At 35.1% G+C, this 19,046-nt stretch overlaps 1 protein-coding gene across 7 annotated transcripts in view; it reads right to left on the minus strand.

Annotated features, from left to right (window-relative positions):
- The window catches only part of SRBD1 (S1 RNA binding domain 1), a 222,588-nt gene that overhangs the window by 17,802 nt on the left and 185,740 nt on the right, over positions 1–19,046 (minus strand). For 4 of the 7 annotated variants that reach the window (NM_018079.5, XM_011532946.3, XM_047444862.1 and 1 more), the window contains 3 exons: positions 13,307–13,413; positions 11,884–12,060; positions 6,633–6,812 (listed from right to left, as the gene is read on the minus strand). In NM_018079.5, coding sequence (NP_060549.4) covers positions 6,633–6,812; positions 11,884–12,060; positions 13,307–13,413 — 464 coding nt within the window. Of the gene's footprint in view, positions 1–6,632; positions 6,813–11,883; positions 12,061–13,306; positions 13,414–19,046 lie in introns of those variants that run through there. The other 3 variants (XM_047444860.1, XM_047444858.1, XM_047444859.1) reach the window with 3 other exon arrangements.

Raw genomic sequence — 19,046 nt, forward strand, 5'->3', positions numbered from 1 at the left:
AACATGGGTTCTCTTGCCATATTTAATTGACATTCTACCTCCATCCTCTTGCTGAAAACCCTGCTCTGGCTCTAGGATGAACACGCTACTCCTGCTCTGTACCATACTCCTCTCCTAAAATAAGACAGCAAACACATGCCTCATATAAAAAACATGATGGAAGGGAATTATTTTTAGTGGAATATTCTTCAGGAAATAGCATATCTGCAGCAGAACAGCATAAAATTCTACATACTCTAGAGAAGAATCCATTTCCTACATACCCCTTAATAAAATAAATCGGCACAGTTTCATTTATTGGACAGGGTAATGTTTCCTTGAAAGAAAAGGCAGTGTCAAATTTCAGCCACGTGATGATAGAGTAACACTCAAAGACAGCATATTCCAGATACTTTTTTTTTTTTCTTCTTAAGAAGCACATGTAACACAAGCCCTGTTACTTTTCTGTGCAGAATAATACATAGAGTCTTTAGGGTACAATACCTTTAATTGGAAAGACCATTATGATTTCATTAAAATCTGGCTGCAAGCTAGCTTTTTCATTGTAGCCTAGTTAAAAGCTCAAGCTTTAAAGTGAGATAGATCTAGTTCAAATCTTGGTTCTACTAGCTAAGTCAGCTTAGGCAATTTACTTACCTATCAGAGACTCTGTATACCTGAAGAAGTGGGAATAATAATAGTACCAACCTCACAGGGTTGCTGTGTGAGGTTTAAACATGATGATGCTTCTAACATGCTTGGTAATGAGGAAGTAGTCAATGAAGGTTGTTTGTACTGGACCATTAACTATTCCAAAGCTAGCCTGAGCTATATTTTTCTGTCTCCAATTTTCTAAATGCCTCTTTCTACAGAATGACATTTTTAAAAACCTACCCTAAATGTAACCTTCTGCATAAAACTTTACAAGATTCCCCTATTTGGAAATGAGTTCTTTTTCCTGGGAACAACCTTTGTGCTTCACAAAGGGTACTTTCTAATTGTTCAGCACTACTGTGATACCTGTGAATGTAAGTTTTATCCTCCCCAAGGAGTTATTAGGCTCCTTGAGAGCATAATCACCTCTATTCATTTTTATATACTTCAGCCCCTATCACAGTGTTCTGTACATTCTAAGTGATGAATAAAGTCATCACCAACAAAATTCAGAGTAATTATTAAAGTAAAGAACACAAAGAATATGGGGAACACTGAACTCATCTTAGAGATGAGGGATCTCAAGACACAACTTGCATAAAAACCAGAAAAAGTTTTAGTTCATAACAACTAGACATTCATACTTCAAAAACATAACATTATAAGCAGATATAAAAGGTAAACAAGTAGAAAAAAATGCCAGTCCATATAACAAAGGGCTTTAATATTCAAAGAACTCATACATAAATAAGGCCTTTAAAAAATTATATAAATAATAAATATAAACAAAAAAGTTGACTTTCTTTAAACCACTAAATAACTCAGGCTATAAAATATCATAATCTCAATTTTCCTAAAAACAAATATGAGACAGACTATCATAAACATGAAAAGAAAGACATAATCATGTTACATTTTGATGTATTTATGTGGGTGATATTATGGAAGGGTGACATTAAAGCCATTTATTTCCAATAGTTTTCTGACATAATTAAAACATGAAATGTACTGCAACAAAAATTCTTTTAATAGAACTGAAATCAAACCAATGATGACCTAATCACATCTTAAATGGGCTTTTTTCTTCCCTGGGAAGACACTTGTGTGAGAATATATAGAGTATGAACTACCTATGCTGAGTGATGTTTAAACTAAGCGTACTTGATAGACAGAAATTACTATCACAGTTCCAAACTGGATAATGGGGATGGTAAGATAAATTGCTAATTTCATCTCTAGGTTTTACACTTGATCTTAGCCAAAAGGCCGAGAAGCGATCATCTCTAGGTTTTGAAGGTCAGGAGTTGGACTGCAACAGAAGAAATTTCCCACTAAATACTTCACAAATACCCTCCTCCTGAGAGACAAGCTTAGTCCCAAAGGAAACAGACAGAAAGGTGAAGTCACTAGCAGGGCATTTATATTTCACATGCAGAAACTGGACCACATCAAAGCTGGCAAAAAAAAGTCCTGTTTACAGGAGAAATTCAAGATTTTTCAGGTTTGAACATTGCTGATGACATTATAAATCAGTGTGTTACTTGGTGATGTATTTCAAGAGCCACAAAGACTTTTAAGCCCTTTGGTAGAGTAATTCTACTTCTAGGAATCCATCATAACGAACCACTATTAGCACTACTATAACTAAAATAAGTTACAGTTCAATCAGTTGATGAAACATTATCTAGCTTTTAATGAGAGGGGTATGCAGAAACAAAAAAAATGTGTTTACAATAGAAAGCAAATTAACAAAAATTGAAAAACTTCTAAACCATATTATAACTAGATTATGGAAACAAACAAAAACATACATTATAAAAGATACTGGCCGGGTGCAGTGGCTCACGCCTATAATCCCAGCACTTTGGGAGGCCGAGTAGGACTGCCTGAGCGAAGGAGTTCAAGACCAGCCTGGACAACATGGTGAAGCCCCGTTTCTACTAAAAATACAAAAATTAGCCGGGCATGGTGGCACAGCACATGCCTGTAGTCCCAGCTACTTGGGGCTGAGGTGGGAGGATTGCTTGAGCTCAGGAGGTTGAGGCTGCAGTGAGCCAAGATCACACTACTGCACTCCTGCCTGGGTGACAAAGTGAGACCCTGTCCACATCCCCTCCGATTGATTCTCCCCCTCCCCCCAAAAAAAGATAGTGATTTGCACAGAACAAAATGATAATTTAGTCTCCACGTACTCCTCAGAATTATTGCAAGAAGTCTATGAATCCCTGTGCACATATGCACCTTCTCATCAAACACTAAAAATACAATTATTATGGAACCACAATTTTTTTTATATTAAAAAAATCTGAACCATGGCCCAAAGTTGAGAACAAGACAAGGATATCTACTCTCACCATTCCTGTTCAACACTGTACTGAAGGTCCCGGCCATTGCAATAGGCAAAAAAAAAAAAAAAGAATAAAGAAAAGAAAAAAAAGAAGCATGAAGATTAAAATGGAGGAAGTAAAGTTTAATATAGTTACTGATGACATAACTACTTATATAGGAGAACTTAAGGAACGTACAAATACCTAGTAGAACTAGTAAGTTAATTTAACAAGTCTGCAGCATATAAGGTTATTATACAAAACTCGTATTTTTATATATTAGCAACAAACAAGTAGCAGCAAATTTTAAAAACTCCATTTACAATAGTGTTGAAAAACATATAACACCTTTAATAAAACACATGTAAAACCTGTACACTGAAAGCTAAAAGACACAGCTTAGAGAAATAAAAGATGACCTAAATAAATGCTGACATAATAAGTTCATGGACTAAAAGACTTGATAAATATTATTAAGACAGCAATATGACATTTTTTTTGTCTCTAAAAAAATAGAGGTAAACCACAAACTGGGAAAAAATATTCATAAATCATATATTTGACAAAGTACATTTTTATATCTGCAGAATATATTAAAACCCCCAAAACTCAATAATAAAAGGGCAAATAATTCAATTAGAAAATGGCCAAATAATATGAACAAATATTTCACAAAGAAGATATAAAAATGGCTAGTAAGCACATTAGAAAGTGTTCAGTGTTGCCAGGGAAATGCAAATTAAAACCACATAGATCTTTCCACACACATTAGAATGGCTAAAAACAACCATCACCACCTAATGTCACATGACAAAAATGCAAGGTAACCAGAATTCTCATGGTGAAAGTGTAAAATGTGAAATGGTACGACCAGAGGAGTTCCAAGAAAACTGAACTTTCATCTACCTCATGACTTATCAATTCCTCTCGTATGTATTTTTCTAAGATAAATGAAAACAAAGGTCAAAGACAACAAAAAAACTGCGCAAGAATATTCACAGCAGTTTTACTCACAATGGCCAAAAACTGGAAATAAGCAAGGTTCATGTGATATTGGGAAGTACATATCTGGCTTTCCTCCTGTTTCCCTGCAAAAAGCTCCTAAAACCTTTGGAATCTCCAGAGTGATAGATAAGAGTGTCTTTTGTATGACACGACTGGTAGCTGGGGTCCCCTAGATACCTTCAGGATAGGGGATGGTCACCAGAAAAACCAAACAAGTGACTAGAGGGGTTGTCACCTTCAGCTCCAGACCCCCAACCTCCAGGGAGGGGAGAAGGGCTGAAGGTCGAGTTGATCACTAATGGCCAATGATTCAATCATGCCTATGTAATGAAACCTACTAAAAACCCAAAAGGCCTGGGTTCCAATGAGCTTCTAGATAGCTCAACACCTGGAGGTTCCTAGAGGGTAGTATGCCCATGTAGAAGTTCCATATCCTTTCCCCCATATACCTTCCCCCTATACCTTTCCCTATACATCTTCTTCATCTGGCTGTTCATCTGTATCCTTTGTAATATCCTTTATAATAAGTGGATGAACATTAAGTAGATGTTTCCCTGAGTTCTGCAAACTGGCAAATTAATTGAACTCCAGGGTCATAGGAATCCTGAAGTTACAGGTCACAACCAGACCTCTCAAGTTGGGAGCAATCTTGTAGTTCTGAGCCCTCAACCTGTGGGATCTGACACTATCTCCAGGTAGATAGTGTCAGAAATTAACTAAATTAGAGGACACCCAGGTGACGTCTGCTGGATAATCTGCTGCAGAATTGACTGGTTGGAGGGGAGAAATCCCTACATATTTTGGTGACCAGAGGCCACGAAAGTGTTCTATGTTGTACTGAGAGTAGACAGTATAAAAAAGTTTGGTATTTCCTATATCTCTTAAATTTCATTAACAGGAAAATAGATAAGCTGTGGTATATTCACACAATGGAATATTACTGAGCAATAAAAAATAAGCTACTGGTACTTGCTACAACATGGATAAATCTCTAAATACGATGCTGAAAGAAGCCTTACACAGATGAGTACAATTGTATGGTAGAGGGAGAAAACTAACCTTTGGTAGAAAAAAATCAAAACAAGTAGTTACCTCTGGGAGGTTGGGGCAGTAACTGATCGGAAGAGGTATAAGGGAACGTTTTCAGATAATAGAAATGTTCCTGATCTCAACAGCAGTTTGGTTACACAGAAGTAGGTATTTGTCAAAATTCAGCTAATATAAACTTAAAATTTAATTGTTACGTAAATGTGACCTCAAAAGAAAAAAATCGTAAAGAATTATCAAATTGTAGTTAATTATATGAATGCTTAAGTATTTAGTGCAAAGTGTACCAATGTCTGTCTGCAATCTTCTTTGGAATGCATCAAAAACATAAGATGGGCCAGGTGCAGTGGCTCACGCCTGTAATCCCAGCTCTTTGGGAGGCCAAGGTGGGTGGATCACTTGAGTCCAGGAGTTTGAAACCAGCCTGGACAATACAGCGAAACTCTATCTCTACTAAAAATACAAAAAATTAGCCAGACCGTGGTGCTGCACACCTGTAACCCCAGCTACTTAGGAGGTTGACGCGCAAGAATCACTTGAACCCAGGAGGCAGAGGTTGCCGAGATCACACCACTGCACTCCAGTCTGGGTGACAGAGAGATCTTGTCTCAAAAACAAAACAAAACAAAACAAGACAAAAAAAAATAAGATGGATGGATAAGTAGATGGATATGTGGAAAAACAGATAGAATAAAATGTTAATGATAACATCTAGGTGTGGCTATATAGGAATTCACTGTAAAAATTTTTTTTCCAATTTTTCTGTATGGCTAAATTTTTTCATCATAAAACTGTTGGGGGAAACCAGGAACTAGTTGGATGTTCACAGAATATTATTTTTTACTTCTTTTTTCTAAGTTTTCTATAATATACTATAGTCTTTTTAAATATTTTTAAAAGAAAGCAAATTAATGACATTTACTAAAATAATCAAATATAAGTGATTTTAAAACAAAAATCTCATTTTAGATTCAATAAAAGTTAAAATATTCACTATATTTGTTACACTGTCATACAATTCAGTAAGAATCTTTAAAAAATGTCGTTATGTAGCAAGTCACTGTTTTTGAACTAATTAAAAAAATTTAAAGCTAATTAAATATGCTGTTAAAAAGATTTTTCTTTTTATACCGTAAACTTCCCTTCTACTCAAAAACTTCCCCCATGTCATTCTGTTAATGTATACTCACTAAAAGTACATCATTTCTTAGATTTTAAGATTTTAATAACCAATAAAGATAATATTAAGAAAGCTGAGTTGGTTGTTTACTTTCAAAAGGGTTTTATCTTTAGAAAAGCACAAGTTTTATGCCAGGTGCTAGTCAATTGTGTCTTGTTAATTTCCAAAACAAACAGAGGGGAGTGCCATGCAATTTCCATTACACACACTTCACCATTAGTATCAGGGTTTATTAGCTTGACAATGCTCCAGGAGTAATGGTTTCATTCCTCAGTGAAATGAAATAATGTGCCACATAACTCAGCAATGCAGAACTTCTGAAAAATGTTGTCACATTAAACGGTCATATTTTTCAGTTTCCATTATGCCAAAACAAAGGCCATTTGCTGTAAAGAACTCACTCTGCATATGGAGAATTCCCACATGGGCCTCAGACTTACCTCATTGCTATGTCATATGATTCTGGATGAATACAAGTTTGGTCCAAAGGATTTGGCTTCAGTAAAACATTCACTGCAGTTTTGCTCTTCTTTTTGCCCTGCTTCTCATTTGTGACCTCAACGTCTGCTGAAGATGTCACAGCAACTCCTTGAATTTGGCCTGAAGTTTCAGTTTGCTGACTATATAAAACCAGAAAAAACCACATTTATGAAAAGGGGAAGGTTGGGCAGAAAAGTCTTCAAATTAAAATGTGCTTACTTCTCTGTCATACAAATATGCGAAAACAGCAACCAGATTTTGACCTTTTACTTCATAGAAACTACCACTTATTTGTTTAAATCACTGGGAAAAGGGCTTTCTGTTACTTAAAGCCAAAAACATTCTTAACTGATTGTATAATTGCCATTCTAAGAGAGAAAAGAGGAAAATGTAGGGAAACAAAATAATAATATTTCCCAGAGCTAAGAAAAACAAGCTCTCAAAAGAATCTATTGAGTGTAGAACAGGATGAATAGAAAAAGACTCATACTTGGCTTCGCGCAGTGGCTCACACCTGTAATCCCAACACTTTGGGAGGCCGAGGCAGGCAGATCACCTGAGGTCAGGAGTTCGAGACCAGCCTGGCCAACATGATGAAACCCTGTCTGTACCAAAAATAAAAAAATTAGCTGGGTGTGGTGGTGCATGCCTGCCTGTAGTCCCAGCTACTTGGGAGGCTGAGGCAGGAGAATCACTTAAACCTGGCAGGCGGCGGTTGCAGTGAGCTGAGATCCTGCCACTGCACTCCAGTTTGGGCAACAGAGGGAGAGACTGTCTCAAAAAAAAAGAAAGAAAAGAAAAGCAAAAGACTCATACTTGACATATCATGGATAAACTTTACAATATAAATAATCTTTAAAATTCTAAAAGGCTTTCAAGAGAGAAAATTAAAACATTACTTTAAAAGGATCTGGAATCAGACTAGCATCAGATTTCTCACTGGCAAACATCAGATGTCAGAACATAGTGGAACAATATCTTAAAGTTTCTGAGAGAAAATGATTTTGAATTTAGAATCGCATACCTAGTCAAATTAGCATTCAAGTAGGAGGGCAAATTGAAATCATTTGCAGGTATGTAAGGACTTAAGTATAACCCATACCAAGCTCTAAAAGAATTTCTTAAGGATTAATTCTAGCAAAAACCAATAAATCAAAGAAAAATGATGATATGAACTACAAGAAACAGTGCAGAAACCACAAAAACTGATTAAATTAAATAAGTGCTCATGAATGATGTAAATATATATACATTATGTGTATATACACATATATACATATACACTATATAGTATATATGTAGTATGTATAGTGTGTATATAGTGTGTGTGTACAGTGTGTATATAGTGTGTGTGTACACACATAGTGTGTATATAGTGTGTGTACACACATAGTGTCTGTAGTGTGTGTACACACATAGTGTGTATATAGTGTGTGTGTACACATAGTGTGTATAGTGTGTGTACACACATAGTGTGTATATAGTGTGTATATAGTATGCACATACACACATAGTGTATATAGTATGTATATACACACACACATAGTGTGTATATAGTATGTATATACACACACACAGTGTGTATATAGTATGTACACACACACAGTGTGTATATAGTATGTACACACACACATAGTGTGTATATAGTATGTACACACACATATAGTGTGTATATAGTATGTACACACACATATAGTGTGTATATAGTATGTACACACAATATAGTGTGTATATAGTATGTACACACACATATAGTGTGTATATAGTATGTACACACACAGTGTTATATAGTATGTACATACACACACATATAGTGTGTATATAGTATGTATATACACACATATAGTGTGTATATAGTATGTATATACACACATATAGTGTGTATATAGTATGTATATACACACATATAGTGTGTATATAGTATGTATATACACACATATAGTGTGTATATAGTATGTATATACACACATATAGTGTGTATATAGTATGTATATACACACATATAGTGTGTATATAGTATGTATATACACACATATAGTGTGTATATAGTATGTATATACACACATATAGTGTGTATATAGTATGTATATACACACATATAGTGTGTATATAGTATGTATATACACACATATAGTGTGTATATAGTATGTATATACACACATATAGTGTGTATATAGTATGTATATACACACATATAGTGTGTATATAGTATGTATATACACACATATAGTGTGTATATAGTATGTATATACACACATATAGTGTGTATATGTGTATATACACACATTTAAAAAACAAAAATATACATCTATAAGAATATATTTTATATATATGGAGGAGTGTGTATATATAGTGTGTATGTGTATATGTATATACACACGTATATACACATGCATATAGTCTGTATACGTATATATAGGTTAAAAAACAAAAATATACATAAAATATTTTTATATATGTATAAAATATATAGAGAGAGTGAGAGAAAAGGAGGGGAGGGGAGGGGAGGGGAGGGGAGGGGAGGGGAGGGGACGGGAGAGGAGAGGAGAGGAGAGGAGAGGAGAGGAGAGGAGAGGAGAGGAGACGAGAGGAGACGAGAGGAGAGGAGAGGAGAGGAGAGGAGAGGAGAGGAGAGGAGAGGAGAGGAGAGGAGAGGAGAGGAGAGGAGTCTGAAACTAAAATCCCAGATCATCTTATCATGGGAGGCAGAGAGAGTTGAAGAGAGAAAGATTGGGAAGGATCCTGTTTCTAGTCTTCTCTAAGAGGACAGACACCTATTAACTCCAGAGGTCAGTCCAAAACCAATTTAAGGATGATCATAAGAATAGAAGATGTACAACTTTGAAATCACTAAGGAGAGATAAAGATGAGATGGGAAAACAAGGAGAGAAACAGAAAACTTATTAACTGATAAATCTAATAAATAGCGTAAAAGGAAAAGAAGAATCAGAAAGCATGATGGAGGGGCAAAATACGTAGGAAGAATAAGCCCAAACATATAAATAAATACAACAAATATGAATGTATTAATAACAGATTGAGTAAAACCACAAAATCTAGCTATGTGTTTCTAAGAGCCATATCAAAAATTAAATGTCATAGAAAGTATAAAAATTAAAAAAAACAGGCATATACAGTAACATTGCTAGCAAATAAATTTCAAAGCAAAAAACATTAAATGTGGTAGCAATATTCCATTCTGAATAAACCTATAGTTCATGAGATGTAACAGTCACAAATCTTCAAGTACCTAATTATCAGCTGGAAAAGTACAAGGCTTTAAAATAAGCTTCATCAATAAGACACTGATTAGACTAAATTACAGCCCATCCATACAATTAAATTTTATGCAGACAATATAAAGAATAAAAAATTAGAAATCTATATGTAATAATTTGGAAAGAGATCCAGAAGACTGAAACAAATAAAGCAAGTTTCAAATAGTTGCAGAGCCTGATCCCTTGTGTATACATTTTTAAAATAATAAACATATACATACAAGGTGACATAACTGTAAATTTACTTTCTGGAAGCAACATATAAGAAACTTTTTCAAGTGAGACTTGAGAGGCATCTTTTACTTTTTGTTCTTTTTTTATACTGTGAGTTTTTTGGTGTTTTTTTGGTTTGCTTGTTTTTGAGACAGATAGGATCTTGTTCTGTCGCCCAGGCTGGAGTGCAGCGGCATGATCTCGGCTCACTGCAACCTCCACCTCCTGGGTTCAGGCAATTCTCCTGTCTCAGCCTCCTGGGTAGCTGGGATTACAGGTGAGCACCACCATGCTCAGCTAATTTTTGTATTTTTAGTAGAGACGGGGTTTCACCATGTTAGCCAGGCTGGTCACAAACTCCTGGCCTCAGGTGAACGACGGCTCCTGGCCTATGCTGTGAGTTTTCTAACCAAGTGTTCAAAGAACATATAAACTAACAAAAACAGAATCATTTTATCTTCAATTTTTTTCAATTGTGACTTCTAGGTTTCATGATCTATTTAGAAAGAATTTCCATCACTCTAATGCTCTGCAAGATTTCCCCATGTTTTCTTCTGGTGCTTTTACAGTTTTTTACTTTTTTTGACATTTAAGTCTATGATAAATCTGTAATTTATCTGGGTATAGGAGTGAGAAGTGGGACTACAGCTTCCTTCACACATATTGAATTACTGGCAGTTGTCATAATATCATTTGTTAGATAATTAATCAATTTTACCCTACCATTTGAAATGTCACCTTTACCACAAACTAAATTCTAACCATGTTTTGGTGGATTTCAGACCTTATTCTGTGCTATTCCTACATCAAAAGCAAACTGTTTAATTTCCACAGCTTTATAATGTATTCTAGTGAGGCTTAATCAGTCTTTTCCAGAAGAAAGGTTATCTTCCATATGACCTCTATTATAATTTTGTCAAAATTATAAAGTCCATATGAATTAACCACGTAGTCCCAAAGTAGCAGATACGTAAATGTTCTTCTTTCATGATTATATCATGCTAAGAAGTTTATCTAACAAGCTTTTGTGCTTTCAGGATTAGAAAATAAAGAAATTTAGCTCTTGATCCACACAACTGATAATCAATGCTTTGGTCCATTTTCAGTGAGGAGGGAGTGGGGAAACATATCTATGCTTAGGGAACAGCTATGTCAGTATAAAGTGGTCATTTTGAAGTCACCATTGTCACCTCATCTTGTACCAGTCCTTCCCATTTGCTATGCCCTAATTGTGTGGGCCTTTGCCTCATTTCCTGAATACACCAAAGTTGGTCCTGCCTTAGGACTGTGCACACTTAGTGTTCACTTTGCCTGGAATGCTCTCTTTCTGATCCTTGGATGGCATTTCATTCAAAACTCTGCTCAAATAAGTTTTCAAAAAATAACGAATCTAAAGTAGTTGTATTACTCTCCTAAGACAGTGTCACATATCCCTGCTTTAATTTTTATAGCACTTCTTGCCATCTGAAAGTACTAATTTTACTAGTTTGCTTATTGTCTGTGTCACATGTTAAAATATAACTCCATGAGAATCCGGAATTTGCTGACTTGCTCACTGTTGTATTCCCAATGCCTACCAAAGGACAGTCACTCAACACTTAACTGAATGAAGGCATGAACAATGGACACTTAGAAAATTTTACACTAATCAGTGGTAGGATAGGTAACAGTAACAAGAGAGGAGGTTGACAATAGAATCAAAGTGTATACTTATACTCACCTGCAAAACGTTCGGATATAATCCTGGTTGATTCTGATGAAGCCAGCACACTGTTGGAAGGATTTTGGGCCCAGCCCTTTCACTTTCTTCAGCTGTTCTCGGTTGATAAAGGGTCCATTTTTCTCTCGCCATTCAATAATATTTTTGGCCCTGTTGGCATTGAGTCCTGCAATATGCCTAGAAAAAAAAAATAAGCAAACTGAAAAAAAGATCTCATCTGAAAAGACAATGATATAAAACATTTGGATCATAAAAACGACTGCAATGACATATCCTCATACGGCTAAGTTAAGTTAATCCAAAAGGGAGTTTAAAAAAAAAAACAAAAAAAAAACGGAGAAAAAAAGAGTTGTGCAAGAGGAAAGAAGGACAACAGAATAAAAAAATAATGACAAAACCAACAGCTGTCATAAAGATGCTGGTAAGAAGGCTAACACTGATGCAAGAAAAAAATGTTCCTTAGTTTTTCTATACTATTCACATTCCTTATGTTTCTGGATAAAGTAATAATTTTGCCTATTTTTTTCAGCATACATACAAAGTGAGTTAGAAGAAGTTATAATAGCTACAACTGTGTTGTACTACCTTTTTTGTGTGTTAGCCTGTTCTCAGTAATATAGAGCTGAACTACAGAAAGGCCCTTATCTATAATTGTCATGGTTAGTATAAATTATATACAAAGACTATATCATTAGGTAGTTTGCTTGGTGTCAAAAGATTATTTCAGAGAATCTCAACTCTATTATAAAATTCCATATATGAAATTATGAAATGTTTGTAGATGTGTTAGAAAATCAACAACTTAAAATGTAAGGGACAGTTTCTGCTATACCTGTTTCAGTGAAAACGGTCCAGATCAGGGAATTTCATGCTGCATTAGCAGACTTGTGTAATAAATGCAAAACTGTGAACAAAAAAGCAGCTCTTCTAAAACCATGGGGGAAAAGAAGATTATATAACATGCGATTATAGTATGATAAAAATTTTGACAGGTTTCTTGTGGAATCAGGGTAAAAATATGGTAACCATACCTTGAACCCTCAGAATTTATCTTTTGGTTACTGCCAGGTTTGACAGATGCATGCAAGAGGCTTAACTAGTGAAAAATCTCTACTCTCACGTGGTGGGAAACAGCTCTTTTCCATGTTAACCTTATTTAAATTCTATTAGCAACACTAATACACTCAATGGTTACCATATGCTCTTCACTTTAGACCTGCAATATTAAAAATGATAATGTGAATTGTTATAATTCTTTTCTTAAATGATGTCTTCCCCTCTGATTACTTAAAGCAATGTATAAACCCATAGACGTTCTCTACTTGACAACTTTATACACGTGTTCCCTTCTTCTAGCCGAGTTTGGACTGGACAGCCAGTTAAACTCAAGATTCTGTGATCTTCAGCCACATATTTGTCTCACCTTAACAAAACTTCTGAACAGATGTTAATATCCACTCCCACAAAGCTGACACATTCTTCTACAACACTGTCCAGTGTTGCCTTGAGTAAAGTCTGGGATACGTCATGCTGAAAAGACAAAGATCAAATATTAACAGTGAAGGAGATGTAGTTCTTGGACTATTCCATTACTCTGCCTATATTACTGGTGGTTAGCTAACACACACCATGGTAAATTTCTTCATTCCTCTTAGACACACTGTTAGCAGAATTAAGCTAAAGTCAAGGCATCTGTGGCTTCTTACTCTTTTAAGCTATGCATATATACCTAATTTGAATATAACAGTACCAGTATTTTTCCCTTGCCTGAAATTGTGCCCAGAGCAGTGGTTCTCAAACTTAAGCTTGCATTAAAATCACCTGTATGGCTTGGTAACACACCCACATCCAGATTCCTGATTCAGTAGGTCTAGGGTGGGGTCTAAGAATTTGCATTCTAACAAGTTCCCGGATGATACTGTGGCTGCTAGATCACAATGAGACATAGTCTCTAACATTCATGCACGGCCTTATAGTGTTATGGAGAAGAAAACATGTTATAATAGGAAGCAGTAAAATAACAGTAAGACAGTAAATCAAACTCGTTTCATCAAATTGAAGACAGTACTGTTTATATGAAGCACCATTTTATATACCACTAAGGAAGAAAATAGTCAATTAAACCATGACACATGCTTTCTTACTGCTTACATTTTTTATTTATTTGTTAAATATTGAAAGAGCTCTTTAGACTTATTTAGAAACCGTAAGAACCATATATCATGTACAAATAAGAAAATATAAGCAATCTAAACTGGCTAAGCTATTCCTAAAATTTCTTCACATTCAGTGTTCAACTCTTCTGATCACTTTTATATTCAAAATCATAGGTGTCAAGGTTTTCCATGCAGTATTGTTTTTTATACTAACAAGATCCTTGATAACGCAGCATTTCTTAAAAGAGTAATCCTCTGTTGTCTCTGGGACTTTCAAGCTTCAGATGCACATTCTTAGAAGCTTTGATGATAGTAGCACTATCTTAATCTTTTTATTTTATTTTATTCTTATTATTATACTTTAAGTTGTTCTAGGGTACATGTGCACAACGTGCAGGTTTGTTACATATGTATACATGTGCCATGTTGGTGGTAGCACTATCTGAATCTTAACAGAGGTTATTAACAGAAGACATTTTGGACAGTGACAAAACTCCTTTTCTGAAAGGTCCTTAAATGGTTTATTATTCAATGGTTTGTTAACTAAAACAGTGAAAGGTGTGCAGTTCAGTCATGTCTCTAGGATTAGCAACCAAGTTCATGTGGAAACTACACCATGATTTACCACAGGGACAACAGCAACTGTAGGACACCATTAAATGTAAGCTGCATTCTGATTTCAGAGGTATTAAAATGTCAGAAAATGGCCAGGCGTGGTGGCTCACGCCTGTAATCTCAGCACTTTGGGAGGCCGAGGTGGGCGGATCACGAGCTCAGAAGATCGACACCATTCTGGCTAACACGGTGAAACCCTGTCTCTACTAAAAATACAAAAAATTAGCCGTGCGCCGTGGCGGACACCTGTAGTCCCAGCTACTCCAGAAGCTGAGGCAGGAGAATGGCATGAACCCAGGAGGTGGAGCTTGCAGTGAGCGTAGATCGTGCCACTGCACTCCAGCCTGGGTGACGGTGTGAGACTCCGTCTCAAACAAAAAAAAAAAAAAAAAAAAAAAAAAAAAAAAAAAGTCAGAAAATGAGCATCTTACAATTGATGAAATGCAATATTTTAAAGTATTTGTTGACTAACTGAAGCTAGGTTACAACAATGAATACATTCGCTATTACTCATAATTCTAAAATTAATGATCTGTGGGACAGGAGACTTCTCTTTACCCAACATCAAGGAAAACAAGGAATATAATCTAGTAGAGTCCCCAAGTATTGTGATTACATTATTACCATTTAATAACAGCAGAAGCTTTTGTTCTGGAAGACTGAAGGGTACAGGAGCACTTCTGTATTTCAGAGATAACTTATTGGTAACTAGCCAGGCCGCAGCTAAAAATTTTGGATGTCATTTTAAAAATCTAATAAGCAAATATCACCATGAAAAAGATCGTAAAGTAAAACCTTAGATCTTACTGAGAACTTGGTTACTCTGAGCCACAGCTTTTAAGAAGCTAGTCTTTTGTCTAAGCAGATGAAAAGCAGCAAAATGAAAAGGGAACTTTTTAAAATGGGTGGGTAGGAGATAGTATGGCAATGTAAAGGCAAGCACAATGATAGCAACAAGAAAAAATATCTGAGGAACACAAAACTACAAACAAACCGGAAAAAGGAAGAATAATCGTTAAGAGCCATTAGAATAAGGGAAACAAGTTGATACAGTACTTCCTAGCACATCAGATGCTTAGGACAGCTAAATGAGTAAGCGACAGTCTCTGCAGCAGATTATTTTGGTTGCCTATCCTAACCTCTAGTTGTCAACCCCTTCTCCTCCTTTCAAACAGAAGCCTGACCGTGTGTCTAGCATTTATCCCATTTCTGCAAGGCCATATGCTTTGGAAAAGCTGGTCCCACCTCCCACAGACAATGGTGACTGGTTAAAATCCATGTTTTTCAAACTGAGGGTTATGATCAATTAGTGGATCATAAAATTAAATCAGTGATTTGCCACCGGCATAAAAAAATAAAGGAATAGAATAAACCACATACAGCATATTGTATATACCCTTAACATCGAATGAACAATAGAATGAACAATGCAGCCAATTGAGACTATCATGTGAGAGGAATACAACATAAATTGGTCAGGAATAGGTATTTGGTTCACTGATAACTCATTTGATCTTCTGACATGGATGGTCAATTTGACGATAATGAAGAGGTTAAAGAGTAACTCTGCAGAGTTAAAAGCAAAGCATGTGAGAAGTTTATCTATCGGCAAAGAGCTGATTCTTTCAACCAAGTTTAGTTAAAAACTTTCAGTGTATTTTTCAGAAAGAATGTTATTGAGTATAAAATTTTTCAAATTCTCAGCAACTGTAATATTTTAACTGATTTAGTATAAGCAGTCCTTAAAATGAATCACTCTATACTCAGAAGAAAAAAAGACAGTGAAGTAAAACCTACAGAGGCAAGCCCAACTACCAGATTTGGAAGTGTTGATAGTGACAAAATTGAGAGAAAATGTTGACTCCAATCAGTAATCTCTGACTTGACTTGAGCCACATTTTATATAGAAAATAATAACCATACGACTTTAAAATAAGCTTGATTTAAAACATGGTTTTATAAATGTGCAAAACAATAAAAATGACGGACCCCAGATGTGTTGTTGGTAATGATATTCTTGTAGATGACAGTGTTGAAATAAAACTTCAAACTTAAAAAACAAAATCACTTGGAACACCCCTACCACAGGGCTAAAATGAAAACAATGGAAAATAACAAATATTGATGTGAATGTGAAGCAAATGGAATGCTCAAGTGATAAATGCATTTTAGGTTAGATATGCAAGGCAAGGCAGTTTAATGGAGGATTTATTTTATATGGTTTAAATGTAACTTCACATAAAATTAAATCAGATGTGTTTACACAATGCAAAAACACATTATTGTTCCATATACATTAAACCAGATACATGGTAGGAGAATAAAAAATGGACAAATTACTAAGAACACCAACATTGCCAAAACTGACTCAAGAAGAAATATAAAATCTGAACAAACCTATAAGTACAGTCAATAAGTAATCAAAACTCTCCCAACAAAAAAAAGTTCAGAACCATACAGTTTCATTGGTGAATTCTACCAAACATTTGAAGAACACCAATCCTTCTCAAACTCTTTAAAAAAACAGAAGAGGAGCCAATACTTCTTACCTATTCTATGAGGCCAGCATTACCCTGATACCAAAGCCAAAGATACCTCAAGAAGAAAGAAACCTACATTTGAACTGATTTCCTATGAATACCAGTTCAAAAATCCTCAACAAAATACTAATAAACTAAATCCAACAGCCTATTAAAAGGATTGACATACACGACATACATATAATGTATTCAGTATGTATGAACTTAAGAACCAGACTCACATTGTTTTCATTTTAAAACAATCTCTCTTGACATTTTTAAATTTTAACTTTGAAATAATTTCAAATTTAGAGAAGGCATGCAAGAATAGTACTAAAACTTTATTACCCTTCCTTCACATAAATACTTCAGCGTATAGTTCCAAATAACAAAAACATTGACTTACATATCCATAATACAATTATTAAAATTAGAAAACATACTGATGTAATAATATTACCTAACATTCAACCCATGCTCAAATCATCAATTTTCTCAATTTTTCTTCACAGCATTTTCTTCCCAATCCATAATTCAACCTAGGATGACATACTGCATTTAGTTGCCTCATACTTTGTGCTAGGCAGCTTCCAAGATGGTTCCCAATGATCCTCAAATCCTGGTATTGATACACTTGTGTAATCCCCTCCTACTAAGTACAGAATTCATTGATGAATCTCATCTGAATAAATTATTATTAAGATTATTTTGCTACTCACAATGACCTGTTTGTGTAAAAAGGTATTTTTAATCTTGACCCAAAATTTGAAAAAACGGCTCAACCATGTACTATATATGCTCATAGCATTGTCCTCATGTATTCCAGACTGAAAAAAATTCATGAACAGCCCATATCTATACATTAAGTTAAATCTGTTCTAAATTTTTGTATTTAGGTATTAAAAACCTATTTAAACATAAGTAAAATAGCATTTAACTTACAATCAGTAGTAAAGATAAGCATTATTTTGAGAAACTTATTTTGAATTACATTTAATTGTATAAGACAGACATACATATACCCAAACAGAAGTGATGTGTGATAAGTGCCCTCGTCATGACGAAGTAAAATGTATTTCCTAGTGTGTCAAAATCAAAAGGTATGAAAAACAATGGTCTAAGCTAATCATGGTGGTCCCATTCTATTTATTCAATAATGGCAAATGAAATGTGAGGGTAAATCTGCTAGGTACTTCAGAAAAAGACTTCACTGCCCTTAAATAGAGTGAGAGAGAACTAGCCTTTTCTTCTTTTGATTCAAGTATGACTCTCAGTAAGCACTGTATCATGGGATGGCACTAGCTTGAAGAAAAGCTAACTTAGCGAGAATGGCAGGTAACATACATTGAGAGACTGTTTCTTCATTGATACTCTTGAGCTTCTGAATTAACGAGTTCTGTACTTAGCCCCCCTGAGCATCCTGTAATAAAATCTCTTTATCATTTAATCAAGAATCAGAAATTTCCTTATTGTTCAGGCCACTTTGAGTAAGGATCTCTGATGTTTTTCCAATTGAAGCAGTCACCTTATTTAGGGGCTCAAAGTCAAGCGGCAAGACTGAGACAATGAAAACTATCACCATACTATCAAAACTCCTTGAGATTTTACTGTCAGGCATTGTTGTAAAGCTTTATAATAGCACGTAACTGAATCCTCACAACAATTCTAAAACATGTACATATGACTTTATGCAGTATCTTCATATATAAGATTTTTTCTAAGGAAATAGCAAGACACTTGCACAAAGGGGTGTGTATATGTGTACAATCTAAATATCCACATAGAGGTGACTTGTACAAATAAATTATGGAACAGCCCTACAATGAACTATTCTGATGCCATTAAAAATCACACAGTAGGGGGTGGCTGGCAA

Source organism: Homo sapiens, chromosome 2, assembly GCF_000001405.40.
Source record: "Homo sapiens chromosome 2, GRCh38.p14 Primary Assembly".
Classification (NCBI taxonomy): Eukaryota; Metazoa; Chordata; class Mammalia; order Primates; family Hominidae; genus Homo; species Homo sapiens.